General features: G+C 35.1%; 1 protein-coding gene across 2 annotated transcripts in view; it reads left to right on the plus strand.

Annotated features, from left to right (window-relative positions):
- The window catches only part of AGBL1 (AGBL carboxypeptidase 1), a 951,857-nt gene extending 939,882 nt beyond the window's left edge, over positions 1-11,975 (plus strand). The window contains exon 23 of one of the 2 annotated variants that reach the window (XM_011521227.4): positions 9,324-11,975. In XM_011521227.4, the coding sequence (XP_011519529.1) occupies positions 9,324-9,339 (16 nt within the window). In that variant the 3' untranslated portion in view covers positions 9,340-11,975. The remainder of the gene's footprint in view (positions 1-9,323) is intronic. The other variant, NM_152336.4, reaches the window with a different exon arrangement.

Consider the following 15,677-nt stretch of genomic DNA (forward strand, 5'->3'; position numbering starts at 1 on the left):
CAACCTGCTCCGGAATGATTCTTGGGTAAACAATCAACTTAAGGCAGAAATCAAGAAGTTCTTTGAAACTAATAAAAACAAAGAGCCAATGTACCAGAATCTGTGGGATGCAGCTAAAGCAATTCTAAGAGGGAAATTTATAGCACTAAATGCCCACATTAAAAAACTAGAAAAGTCTCAAGTTAACAACCTAACATCACAACTAAAAGAACAAGAGGACCAAGAGCAAACAAATCCAAAACATTGCAAAAGACAATAAATAACCAAGATTAGAGGTGAACTGAAGGAGATAGAAACCCCCCAAAATTCAAAAATCAACAAATCCAGGAGCCTGTTTTTTGAAAAAAATAATAAAATAGATATACCACTAGTTAGACTAATAAAGAAGAAAGAAGAATCAAAGAAACAAGTCAGAAATGATGAGGATATCACCACTGACCCCACAGAAATATAAACAACCATCACAGAATACTATAAACTCCTCTATGCACATAAACTAGAAAATCTAGATAAAATGAATAAATTCCTGGACATATGCACCCACCCAAGACTGAACCAGGAAAAAAATTGAATCCCTGAAGAGACCAATAATAAGTTCTGATATTGAGGCAGTAATAGATAGCCTACCAATCAAAAAAAGCCCAGGACCAGAAGAATTTACAGCTGAATTCTACCAGAGGTACAAACAAGAGCTGGTACAATTTACACTGAATGTCATTGATCACATAAACAGAACTAAAGACAAAAATCACATGATTGTCTCATTAGATGCAGACAAGGCCTTCAATAAAATTCAACATCCTGTCATGTTAAAAACTCTCAATAAACTAGGAACTGAAGGAACATACCTTAAAATAATAAAAGCCATATATAACCAACCCACAGCCAATATCACACTGAATAGGCAAAAGCTGAAAGCATTCCCCTTGAAAACTAGCACCAGAAAAGGGTGTCCTCTCTTACCACTCCTATTCAACACAGTATTGGATGTTCTGGCCAGGGCAATCAGGCAAGAGAAAGAAATAAAGGGTATTTAAATAAGAAGAGAGGAAATCAAATTATTTTTGTGGATATCATGATCCTATATCTAGAAAACTCCATTATCTCCACCCAAAAGCTTCTTAAGCTAATAAGCAACTTCAGCAAAGTCTCAGGATACAAAATAAACATGCAAAAATTGCTAGCATTCCTATGCACTAAAAACAGGCAAGCAGAGAGTCAAATCATGAATGAATTCTCATTCACAATTGCTACAAAAAGGATAAAATACTGAGGAATACAGCTAACAAGGGATGTGCAGGACTTCTTTAAGGAGAACTACAAACCACTGCTTGAAGAAATCAGAGAGGACATAAATAAACAGAAAAACATTCCATGCTCATGGATAAGACTCAATATTGTGAAAATGGCCATATTGCCCAAAGTAATTTATAGATTCAATGCTATTCCCATTCAACTACCATTGACATTCTTTACAGAATTAATTAGAAAAAAAAATTTAAAAATTCATATGAAACCAAAAAAGAGCCCATATAGCCAAGATGATCCTAAGCAAAAAGAGCAAAGCTGGAGGCATCACACTACCTGGCTTCAAACTATGCTACAAACCAAACAGTAACCAAAACAGCATGGTACTGGTAAAAGAACAGACACATAGACCAGTGGAACAGAGTAGAGAACTCAGAAATAAGACCTACAACCATCTGATCTTTGACAAACCCGACAAATCCAGCAATGGGGAAAGGATTCCCTATTTAATAAATGGTGGTGGAAGAACTGGCAGCCATATGCAGAAAATTAAAACTGGACCTCTTCCTTACACGATATACAAACATTAACTCAAGATGGTTTAAAGACTTACTGAAATGTAAAACCCAAAATTATAAAAACCCTGAAAGAAAATCCAGGCAATACCATTTAGGAAATAGGCATGGGCAAAGATTTCATGACAAAAGCACAAAAGCAATTGCAACAGAAGCAAAAATTGACATATGGAATCTAATTAAACTAAAGAGCTTCTGCACAGCAAATGCAACTCTCATCAGAGTGAACAGACAACCTACAAAATAGGAGAAAATTTTTGCAATCTATCCATGTGACAAAGGCCTAATATCCAGAGTCTATAAGGAACTTAAGCAAATTTACCAGAAAAAAACATACAACCCCATTAAAACGTGAGCAAAGCACATGAACAGACACTTCTCAAAAGAAGACATGTGTTTTCAACTCCTAGGGAATCATGGCAGATGGGAGGCAGGACTAGACTGCAGCTCTAACTCAGACAGAGCAGCATGTGGAGGCTTGCATTATGAATTTCTGCTCCAGAACAACTGCAGGAATAAATCAGGAAACCTGAAAGGACCCACAGACCCCTGAAGGAAGCGGATTGCTCCTGCAGGACCCAGGAGACATGCCAAATACTCTGCTGGTATTCACGGCTGACAGACCTACAGATGTTTCACATCACAGGACTCTGCAGAAAATCCCCAGTACTGGCCCAGAGCCTGGTAGACTTGCTGGGTGGCTAGATCCAGAAGAAAGATAACAATCACTACAGCTATTCTCTCAGGAAGCCACATCCATAGGAAAAGGGGGAGAGTACTACCTCAAGGGAACACACTGTGGGACAAAAGAATCTGAATGGGACAAAAAGAATCTGAACAACAGCCTTCAGCCCTACACCTTCCCTCTGACAGAGTCTACCCAAATGAGAAGGAACCAGAAAACCAACTCTGGTAATATGACAAAACAAGGTTATTTAACACCCCCCAAAAATCACACTAGCTCACCAGCAATGGACCTAAACCAAGAAGAACTCCCTGATTTACCTGAAAAAGAATTCAGGATGTTAGTTATTAAGCTAATCAGAGACGTCTTTGAATTAACCCAATCCAACGAAGACAAAGAAAAAAGAGTAAGAAAATATGAATAAAGCCTCCAAGAAGTCTGAGATTATATTAAATGACCAAACTTAAGAATAATTGGTGCTCCAGAGGAAGAAGAGATATCTAAAAGTTTGGAAAATATATTTGGGGGAATAATTGAAGAAAACTTCCCTGGCCTTGCTAGAGACCTAGACATCCAAATACAAGAAGCTCAAGGAACACCTGGGAAATTCATCACAAAAAGATCATCGCCTAGGCACATTGTCATCGGGTTATATAAGTTAAGACGGAAGAAAGAATCTTAAGAGCTGTGAGACAAAAGTACCAGGTAACCTATTAAAATAAAGAAACCTATCAGATTAACAGCAGATTTCTCAGCAGAAACCGTACAAGCTAGAAGGGATTGGGGCCCTATTTTCAGCTTCCTCAAACAAAACAACTATCAGCCAAGAATTCTGTATCCATTGAAACTAGGCTTCATATATGAAGGAAAGATACAGTCTTTTTCAGGCAAACAAATGCTGAGAGAATTTACCACTACCATGCCACCACTACAAGAACTGCTTTTCAAAAAGTGCTCTAAATTTTGAAACAAATCCTGGAAACAACATCAAAACAAAACCACTTTAAAGCATAAATCTCACAGGACCTATAAAATAAAAATACCATTTAAAAAATGAAGTCAAAAAAACCAAGGTACACAGGCAACAAATAGCATGATGAATGGAATGGTACCTCACATTTCAATATTAACATTGAAGGTAAATTACCTAAATGTTCTACTTAAAGATACAGAATTGCAGAATGAATAAGAATTCACCAATGAACTATCTGCTGCCCTCAAGATACTCATTTAACACGTAAGGACTCACACAAACTTAAGTGAAAGGGGTGAAAAAAGAGACATCATGCAAACGGACAGCAAAAGTGAGCAGGAGTAGCTATAGTTATGTAAGAAAAAACAAACTTTAAAGCAGCAGTAGTTGAAAAAGACAAAGAAGGACATTATATAATGATAAAAGGCCTTGTCCAACAGGAAAATATCTCAATCCTGAATGTATATGCACCTAACACTGGAGCTCCCAAATTTATAAAACAATTACTAATAGACCTAAGAAATGAGATAGACAGCAACACAATAATAGTGGGGGACTTTTTAATACACCACTGACATCACTAGACAGGTCATCAAGACAGAAATTCAACAAAGAAACAATGGATTTAATCTATACCCTAGAACGAATGGACTTAACAGATATATACAGAACATTCCATCCAACAACTGCAGAATATACATTGTATTAAACAGCACATGGAACTTTCTTCAAGAAAGACCATATGATAGACCACAAAATGAGCTTCAATAAATTTAAGAAAATTGAAATTATATCAAGCACTCTCTCAGACCACAATGGAATAAAACTGGAAATCAACTCCAAAAGGAAACTTCAAAGCCATGCAAATACATGGATATTAAATAACCTGCTTCTGAATGATCATTGGGTCAAAAATTAAACCAAAATGAAAATTAAAAAATTCTTTGAACTGAATGACAATAGTGACACAACCTATCAAAACCTCTGAGACACAAAAGGCAGTGCTAAGAGGAAGGTTCATAGCACTAAATACCTACATCAAAAAGTCTAAAAGAGCACAAACAGACAATCTAAGTTCACACCTCAAGTAACTACCAAAACAAGAACAAACCAAACCCAAACCCAGCAGAAGAAAGGAAATAACCAATATCAGAGCAGAACTAAATGAAACTGAAACAACAACAAAAATATAAAAGATAAATGAAACAAAAATCTGGTTCTTTGAAAAGATAAATGAAACTGATAGACCATTAGCAAGATTAACCAAGAAGAGAGAAAATCCAAATAAGTTCAATAAGAAATAAAACAGGAGATATTACAACTAACACCACAGAAATAAAAAAGATCATTTAAGGCTACTATGAACATCTTTACATGCATAAATTAGAAACCTAGAAGAAATGGATAAACTCCTGGAAAGATACAACTCTCCTAGCATAACTCAGGAAAAATTAGATACCCTAAACAGACCAATAACAAGCAGCAAGATTGAAATGGTAACGTAAAAATTACCAATGAAACAAGTTCAGGACCAGACAGATTCCCAGACGTATTCACAGCAGAATTCTACCAGACATTCAAAGAAGAATTGCTACCAATCCGATTGACACTATTTCCCAAGATGGAGAAAGAGAGACCCTTCCCTAAATCATTCTATGAAGCCAGTATCACCCTAATACCAAAACCAGGATCTAGCCCAAAAAGAAAACTACAGACCAATATCCCTGATGAACATAGATGCTAAAATCCTCAACAAAATACTAGTTAACTGAATCCAACAATATATCAAAAAGAAAATTCACCATGATCAAATGGGTTTCATTCCAAGGATGCAGGGTTTAGCATAGGCAAGTCAATAAATGTGATACACCACATAAACAGAAATAAAAACAAAAACACATGATGATCTCAATAGATGCAGAAAAAGCATTTGACAAAATCCAGCATCCCTTTATGATTAAAACTCTCAGTAAAATCGACATACAAGGGACATACCTCAATATAATAAAAGCCATTTATGACAAACCCACAGCCAATATAATGCTGAATGGGGAAAAGTTGAAAGCATTCCCTCTGAGAACTGGAACAAGTCAATGATGGCCACTCTCACCACTCCTCTTCAACTTAGTACTGGACATCCTAGCCAGAGAAATTAGATAAGAGAAAGAAATAAAGGGCATCCAAATTGGTAAAGAGGGAGTCAAACTGCTGCTGTTTGCTGATGATATGATTGTTTACCTAGAAAACCCTAAAGACTCCTCCAGAAAGCTCCTAGAACTGATAAAAGAATTCAGCAAAGTTTCCAGATACAAAATTAATGTACACAAATCAGTAGCTCTTCTATACACCAACAGTTATCAAGCTGAGAATTAGATCAAGAACTCAACCCCTTTTAAAATAGCTGCAAAACAAAAACAAAAACAAAAAACATGAAAAAAACTTAGGAATATGCCTAACCAAGGAAGTGAAAGACCTCTGCAAGGAAAACTGCAAAACATTGCTGAAATAAATCATAGATGACACAAACAAATGGAAACACATCCCATGCTCATGGATGGGTAGAATCAATATTGTGAAAATAACGTTACTACCAAAAGCGATCTACAAATTCAGAGCAATACCCATCAAAATACCACCATCATTCTTCACACAATTAGAAAAAAAATTCTAAAATTCATATGGAACCAAAAAAGAGTCCAAATAGCCAAAGCAAGCAAAGCAAGACTAAGCAAAAAGAACAAACCTGGAGGCATCCCACTACCTGATTTCAAACTATACTATAAGGCCATAGTCACCAAGACAGCATGGTACTGGTATAAGAATAGGCACATAGACTAATGGAACAGAGTAGAGAACCCAGAAATGAACCCAAATACTTACAACTAACTGATCTTCAACAAAGCAAACAAAAACATAGAGTGGGGAAAGGACACCCTTTTCAACAAATGGTGCTGGGATAATTGGCTAGCCACATGTAGGAAAATGAAACTGGATCCTCATCTGTCACCTTATACAAAAATCAATTCAAGATTGATTAAGGACTTAAATATAAGACCTGAAAATTAAAATTCTAGAAGACAACATAGGAAAAACCCTTATAGACACTGGTTTAGGGAAGGATTTCATGACCAAGAACCCAAACACAAATACAATAATAACAAAGATAAATTGTTGGGACTTAGTTAAACTAAAGAGCTTTTGCACGGCAAAAGGAACAGTTAGCAGAGTAAACAGACAACCCAGAGTGGGAAAAAATTCTCACAATCTATACATCTAACAAAGGGCTAATATCCAGAATCTACAATGAACTCAAACAAATCAACAAGAAACAAACAATCCCATGAAAAAGTGGGCTAAAGACATGAATAGACAATTCTCGAAGATATACAAATGGCCAACAAATATGAAAAAATGCTCAACATGACTAATGATCAGGGAAATACAAATCAAAACCACAATACACTGCCACTTTACTCCTGCAAGAATGGCCATAATCAAAAAATCAAAAAAATAGTAGACGTTGGCATGGATGTGGTGAACAGGGAACACTTCTACACTGCTGGTGGGAATGTAAACTAGTACAATCACTATGAACAACAGTGTGGAAATTCCTTAAAGAACTAAAAGAAGAGCTATCATTTGATCCAGCAATCCCACTACTGATACCTACCCAGAGTCATTATACAAAAAAGATACTTGCACACACATGTTTATAGCAGCACAATTTGCAATTGCAAAAATGTGGACCCAACTCAAATGCCCATCAATTGATAAGTGGATAAAGAAACTGTGGTATATATACACAGTGGAATACTACTCAGCCATAAAAAGGAATGAATTATTGGCATTCGCAGCAACCTGGAGGAGACTGGGGACTATGATTTGAAGTGAAGTAACTCAGGAATGGAAAACCAAACATTGTATGTTCACATTCATAAGTGGGAGCTAAGCTATGAGGATGCAAAAACATAAGAATGATACAATGGACTTTGGGGACTCAGGGAAAGGGTGGGAAGGGGATGAGAGATAAAAGACTACAAATAGCGTGCAGTGCATACTGCTTGGGTGATGGGTGCACCAAAATCTCACAAATCACCACCAAAGAACTTACTCATGTCACCAAACACCACCTGTTCCTCAATAACATATAAAAATGAATAAATACAAAGATATACATGTGGCTAACATATGAAAAATAGCTCAACATCACTGATCATTAGAGAAATGGAAATCAAAACCACAATGAGATATCATCTCACACCAGTTAGAATGGGTATTATTAAAAAGTTAAAAAACAACAGATGCTGGCAAGATTGCAGAGAAAAAGAAGTGCTTTTACACTGTTGGTGGAGTGTAAATTAGTTAAACCATTGTGGAAGACATCGTGGTGATTCCTCAAAGACAGGAGGCAGAAATACCATTTGACCGAGCAATCTCATTACCCAGAGGAATATAAATAATTCTATTATATAGATGTATTATGCATTATATAATACATTATATAGATGTATTATGCATTATATAATACATTATATAGATATGTATTATATAGATGTATATTTATTACATAAATCATTCTATTATAAAGATACATGCACGTTTATGTTCATGGCAGCACTATTCACAATAGCGAAGACATGGAATCAACCTAAATGCCCATCAATGATAGACTGGAGAAAGAAAATGTGGTACATATACGCCATGGAATACTATGCAGCTATAAAAAGGAAGGAGATTATGTCATTTGCAGAGACACAAATGGAGTTGGAAGCCATTATCCTCAGCAAACTAATGCGGGAACAGAAAGCCAAACACCATGTGTTCTCACTTACAAGTGGGAGCTGAACTTTGAGAACACATGGACACATCAAGGGGAACAACACACACTGGGGCCTCTCGAGGGGTGTAGGTGAGGGGAGGGCAAGCCCCAGGAAGAATAACTAATGGCTGCTGAGCTTAATCCCTAGGTGATGGGATGATCTGTGCAGCAAACCACCATGGCACATGTTTACCTATGTAACAAACCTGCACATCCTGCGCACATACACTGAACTTAAAAGTGGAAGAAAAAAATATATATATATATAAATGTATGGCCAAAAGAAAAAAAAAGGAAAGTCTCCATTTCCTCTAATACCTTCTGTTTCAATATTAACTGGAAAGTGAGAAATCTAAGTGCCCTTTGCTTATTGATCAACCTCATAATATTCAATGCAGTAAGTTGTGAGATTTCTCTGAGAATGTCTTTCTATTGGAAAAATAATGGAAATATTTTGTAAGCTGTATTATAATACAACTATCATGCAGGCAGAGGCATTGTATTTCCTGTTTGCTTTTGTATCTGTATCAAAATAGGATATCTGACCCATATAGACTCAAACGTGGTTAGTGAGTAAGTCAGTTGAATTAAATTTATTCAAGTGGCCAATTTCATATAGAACTTTTAAAGATTAATTTCATGTGTAAACAATAATACTTTAAGTGTAGTGATGATAATATCAATAATATTAATACTTGGAATTTACCTAATGACTTTATATTTTTAAATCATCCATTCATTAAAAAAAATGTATTGAGAATTTTCTAGGTATCAGGTCCTATTCAGTGCAATGGGAATAAAGCAGTAAATAAGAATTCATGCCCTCACATTCTCACATTCTGGTTGAAGAGGAGAAATATCTCTTACATCTCTAATCTAAATGTAAGTATGATTGTTTATAATCCATAGATGAGGAAAATGAATTTCGTATCTCTAAAAGGTCAATTTGCCAAACTTGTGGCACAAACCAGAAGTTACACGGCTTCAAGCATAGTAATTAATATATTTCTTATTCCTTCTCAGAGTTTGTGACACTTGATGAGGCTCCCTTCAAATGAGCAAGTATTGAAGTTCATGCCATGTGCCCAGCTCCTCCTGGATCTGTGAGGAAATATCTGAAACCTTCAAGATGTTGTACATGTCTTATGGAAAATGTTGCTCCATCATCCCTGCACTCCCTTATCTAGTATATCTACCTCCATAAGAAAACATAAGGACAGGCAATCTTCATAAAAATAGACTCCACCTATTTGGTTCATAGTTCTCTGAACCTAGAACAGGACAGAACTAACACTAGGTAAATATAATAAATATACATTAACTAAATGAATGAAAGAATCGCAAAGGTACTTCACATAGATAGTCTTCTACTCAAGCATTAAAATGTCTCTTACCAAGGCAGCTTCCATATTTGAAATAGTGCCTCTTTTTTCGGTTCAAAGAGCCATGAGTGGTTTTGTAGCATCAGGGGCTCAATATCCTTTATGTAATACTGAAACAACTCATTTATCCAGGGATCACTTTCTGGAACATCCATCAATTTAAACATAGACCAAAACTAGTCATCAAGAAGAAAGTGAATCTAACCACCAAGCATAATGTCCCTAGTTCATGCATGCTTTGATGTGCTAATACTTTATTCTTTGCATTTTTCTTAGATCCTCTTTCAAAGGACCAGCACTCTATTTATAATAATAACAACAACGACAGCAACATTAGGAATAGTAATGGCCACTACCCCTTCATTGGTACTTATGTATAATTTCTTATTTTGTCCTCCTACAAACCCTATGAGATGACTATAGTTATATGTCCATTTTATAATGAGGAAACTAAGGTTTAGAGAGTATTTTTTAAAGTCAAAGAGATAGTCTGTAGGGAAACAAGAATTTTAATGTTTTTCTATGTTTGTATTTCTCTAGAATATAATCTTTTCCTTCAAATATCTGATTTCATAACTCACAACAGCTAATAAATGGAGGGAGACATAGAATAAGGTGCACATACACACACACACGTACACATGCAAACACATGCACACACAAAAGCCACAAAACTAAAATGCATAGCACTTCTGGGTATTTTGTTGTAGAGGCAAACAACCCTTCATCCCTTGATGGCTCCTAGGATGTTAATGAAGATACATAAAGAAAATTCTGAATAATGAAGTAAAAGTGAAATTTCATTGATTCTTTTTGACTAAGGATAAATGAAAAAAAAATCTATATTTTTGAAAGACATCTAAGCAAGATTATTACAATTAAAAGGTTGGATACTTAAACTAAACTTAAGGTATCTGGAAAAACTGCTTATACTGAACAGCTCATTTGTGGCTGTAGTTGAAGTCACTATTACCACTATTACTTTATGTGTCTACTGTACACCCATGACATTTTAGCACAATATGCAAGGATTCAGAAATCTTATGGTGGGCATATGTATACAAGGTTAAGAGAAGAGATTAAAAATAATAAAGAGCAGCTGATTCTATCCTCAAGACTGAGTGAAACTCAACTTTAAATATCAATATTTAAATACCCAATCGTTTTAAGAACCAAATTCTTAGATATAATTTTTATTTCTACTGGGGCAGCTTGAACAGGTAAGTATTTCTTATTGAACAGTAGTAATAAAAGCAGGTTTTATTATTCTAGTCTCTCATTCTATTTACAACTCTTTGCTTGACCATAGATTGTATCACTAACAAAATCATTGGTGTTTAACATATAAGAATAATCAAAGTGAGTTTTGCCATCATGGCAAATAACTAAGGAAAGAGTAGAGAAAATGATGTCATTGCAAGTAAGCCCAGCAAAATTATTCCTGGTGGTTTGAGGACACACATTAAGCTTCCTTGTGCACTTTTCCCCTCTTTTTCTAAATAAATTTATTTGTGATATTGCCTTGCTAACTATATTGAGCACATTTACCAATTTACTACTTCCTTATGAATAAAATCCACTTTTTCTCCATTAGAAAGCTATCCCAGTTCCTTCACTCGGTCTATTTTTCCCAATTATCAGTGTATTTGAACTCTATTACTCTACTCGCACCAAGCCACAGCCTCTCACCCAGTCCATACAAGTCTACACTCTGGTAGGATGTTGCGGCTGAGCTGAGGAAGGACAGAGGTGGCATCACAGGTCCTGATATTTCCGATACAACCAACACTACTTCAGAGAAGAGTGACATCGATTTGCTGTCAACTGAAGGCAAATATTTGCTGTTATTTAAAAAAAGCATTTTCATTTTTAGGCAAACATATTTGCCTACTTCTTCAATTCCCACTACAATATCTTGGGCTTTCTGTAAGCCAGAACAAATTCAACCTTCCCTTATCTTTTCATGTGTCAGCTTTGTGTATGGAAGAAGGCAACTTTTCAAACATATCCTGAAATCACTGATATTTTGTCTCATTTTTTTCCTTAATTTTTTTAAACCAACATCTGTGATACCCTGATGTAACCATAATTACAAAATGGAAGATTAGTCAACGGCAAAATTGGAAAAAGAAGACATATTAACAGAAATAGAGAGATATTTCTCATGAAAAATATACATTTACAGCAAATAGGAATAAATATGTGGCTCCCTTATTGTATTAAGATAACACAGACCAGCCTTAAGTGCAGATAAAAAATGTAACTTCATGTCAAATGATTTTTTCTTTAACATGAGACGAGAAATGGACTTTTAATATTTGTTGTATTTTTTTTTTTTTTTTTTTTGCCCTTCAGGCTCTTTACTAAAGCTTTATTCTTTTTCAATACCTTCCACTTTTATTGTACTTAGTTTAGCATGGTTTATTACATTGTTTTGACTTCATTTGCTGTTTTTTTTTTTTTTTGCTTTGTTTTATTTTTGCCAGAGTTGAAGCTGGGCATTGTTCCACATTTAATCTGACAGACAGTCCTGGCAAGTTCTACGGTACTTAGCTAATTGCTCAAAGATGTACCATTGCACCCCATTCATGCCTTGTACATGTCTCCGCATGACTTTTAAGGAACAATCCAAACATACTCTCCTCGGAGCCGAAGGAGATTTTTCAGATCAATTTGGTCTTCTCTGGAATAAAATTACTTTTATCAGTAACCAAAGAAAAGACTTTCACAATTACACACTGTCCTTCAGTGCCGTATCCATTTATTATTTTTCCTTCGTTTGCAAACTGAGATATTGATTAAAACTCTGCAGTTGTAGATTTCTGTGGACTCTGTGCTTGTAAGGAAACACTCTGCAGCATGGGAGAGAATATGGCTCATCAGGAATCATAGCCTTACTACAAAAATCTGTCCAAGTTGCCACTTAAAGAAAATTACCATGTGCCTTTTTTAGTTCTCCAGAAGCAAAGCCTGAGATAAAGATTCATGGGCAAGTATTAGGTTGGTGCAAAAGTAACTGCAGTTTTGCCTTCACTTTTAGTGGCAAAAATTGCAATTATTTCTGCACCAACCTAAATAGTTTAAGGTAGCACTCCCAGGATAAAATGGTAAAAAAAAAAAATGGAGAAAGTAAGGGGAAGGGGAAGAAGTTAATAAGGTATGATTTCAGGCAAAGTCGAATCTCTAGCTGATTCTGTGGGGAACTCTGGAGTATAGTTTGCACCTCACAGTTTGTCAAAACTCAAAGCACAGGAGCTGGGCATTCTTGATCGATAAGTCAGCCACTGGCTACAATCTGCCCTGGAGGGGTGTGAGCTCTAAGGCATGCAGGAAAAGGTGGCTCTCCTAGCCAAGAGATAGATAGTTATGCGAACAGCATTGCAGATACAGGTCATTAGAAGCGAAGTTCACAGAAGCTGGAGACAAATGCATGAATATGATTAACGGATTCCAAGGGAAACTTAAAAGAGCATTGACTTCTACACCATGTCTACATCTCGACATATTTGCATATATTTTGTATGCTGTCATTCAGTGTTAAAATGTACTATGAATCTAGCTCAGTGTTGTCCAATAGAAATATAATGTGAGTCGAATGTGTAATTTTAAATGTTCTAGTAGCCACATTAAAAATGTAAAAAAAGTATATATATATATATTTCAATGATACATTTTATTTTATGCAGTATATCCAGACATGTAGTTAATAAAAAATATTGAGACATTTTATGTTCTGTTTTTGTACTTGATCTTCATAATCAAAGGTGTATTTTGTACTTATTGTACATCTTGATTTGGACTAGTCTCATCTCAAGTGTGTTCAATAGCTACATGTGGCTAGGGGCTATTGCATTGGACGGCACAGATCTAGCTGGTTTCTTGAGCTGTTATTTTGGGCATTTAGCAAGTGGTACAGTTAGAAAATTAATGTTTTATACTTACAATAAGTTGTTTCTATGCTATACTATATATGATATAATCTATAGTATAAACTGCACAGTTCTTGAACCATTTTACGTTTTCTGAAAATATCTTTCCTCCTTCCACAAGGGGGCCCCTTATGGCTACTCTTGTACAATGTGACTGTCCAGTTGGACACAACCGATTAATCAAGATAGACCTGACCCAAGCTGGGCCAATCATATTCACTTTCTTAAAGGATTGGGTACATTCCCAGTGGCTTTACAGATTCTGATTCCAGCACTCTCTGAAGCTTGGCTTAATTTCTGCCCTTGGTTTTGGTGAAATATGACTGTAAAAATAAAACAATTCTTTATTAAGTTGCTTGCAAGTGAAAGAATCCTAACTAATAATGAAAATAGGTACCGGAAGTTCAGAGACACTGTCAATCTGACTGCATCAAGGAAAAGGACAATGAATCTTGCCCATGCTGGACTGGGAAGACAATAGGCCCTAAAATGACATTCATGTTCACTGTCTTGAAACCTAGACCAGTAGAACTTGATCAGAATTTAGGAGAATTGGATACAAAACTTAAAGATGTCATATCACGGCATGTAATTCCTCTTTGGAAACTCCGGAAAAGTGCAGCAGGACAAGGAAACGGGATAATCTAGTGGGAAGGAGATACCGAAAATTCATGTTTATGTCTTTTTTACCCTAGAGATTATTCTTGACATGGTAGCCATAATGATTCTTTTAAAATCTAAGTCAAATCATGTCACTCTCCTTTTCAAAATATTCTAATGATTCCTGAGCAAGAGATCACTCAGCAAAAGTGTGAGATAGCTAAAGTCCTTAAAATGACTCATAGTGGGCAACAGCATCTGGCTTCTAAAAATCCCTCTGATTATTTCTTACTATGTCTCTCCTTGCTCATTCCACACAGTACCTTTCTTGTGGTTCATATATGTCAAGTCCCACTTTGAAGCCTTTGCACTGACTGAACCTTTATCTGAACCACTCTTTGCTTACTTCCTTCAAGATATTTGATATATTTCTTAAATGTCACCTCTCCATAAAGACTACCCTCATCAATCATTTTCTTAAAATTATAACCCTTTCTCTTTGGCATCACTACCAAAATCTTCTAACCTTACTATATGGTTTAAAAACTAATATCCCATATAGCCTATATTTGCATATTATATAATATATATTCATAATGTGCATTTATTAAGTCTATTTATTTACATACTTTTTAAAAATTCCTCTACCACTAAAATATAAGCTCCATGAGGTCAGGGATTTTCTTTTTCCATTTATGTATACCACTAATGAACAAAATGATATACACTTAAATGACAACACATATATATATGTGTTCAAGAACTGTGCGGTTTATGCTATAGATTATACCATATATAGTATAGTGTAGAAACAACTTATTTTAAGTATAAAACATTAATTTTTCTGACTGAACCACTTGGTAAATGCCCAAGTAACAGCTCAAGAAACCAGCTAGATCTGTGTGCTGTCCAATGCAACAGCCCCTAGCCACATGTATATGTATATATATATGTGTATATAGCCACATGTATATGTATATGTATACATATATATACATGTATACATGTATACATACATATACATGTATACATGTATACATACATATATACATGTATACATACATGTATACATACATATATACATGTATACATGTATACATACATGTATACATACATATATACATGTATACATACATATATGTATACATACATATATACATGTATACATGTATACATACCTATATATACATGTATACATACATATATACATGTATACATACATATGTATAAATGTATACATACATAATATATATATACAGATACATGTGTATATACATATATGTATATACAGATACATGTGTATATACGTATATCTATACATATAGATATATGTATACGTATATATACGTATATACGTGTATATACACGTATATGTACATATACGCGTGTATATATACACGTACGTATATGTATATATACGTACGTGTATATATACCTGTATATATACACGTACGTATATGTACATA

Source organism: Homo sapiens, chromosome 15, assembly GCF_000001405.40.
Source record: "Homo sapiens chromosome 15, GRCh38.p14 Primary Assembly".
In the NCBI taxonomy this organism is placed as follows: Eukaryota; Metazoa; Chordata; class Mammalia; order Primates; family Hominidae; genus Homo; species Homo sapiens.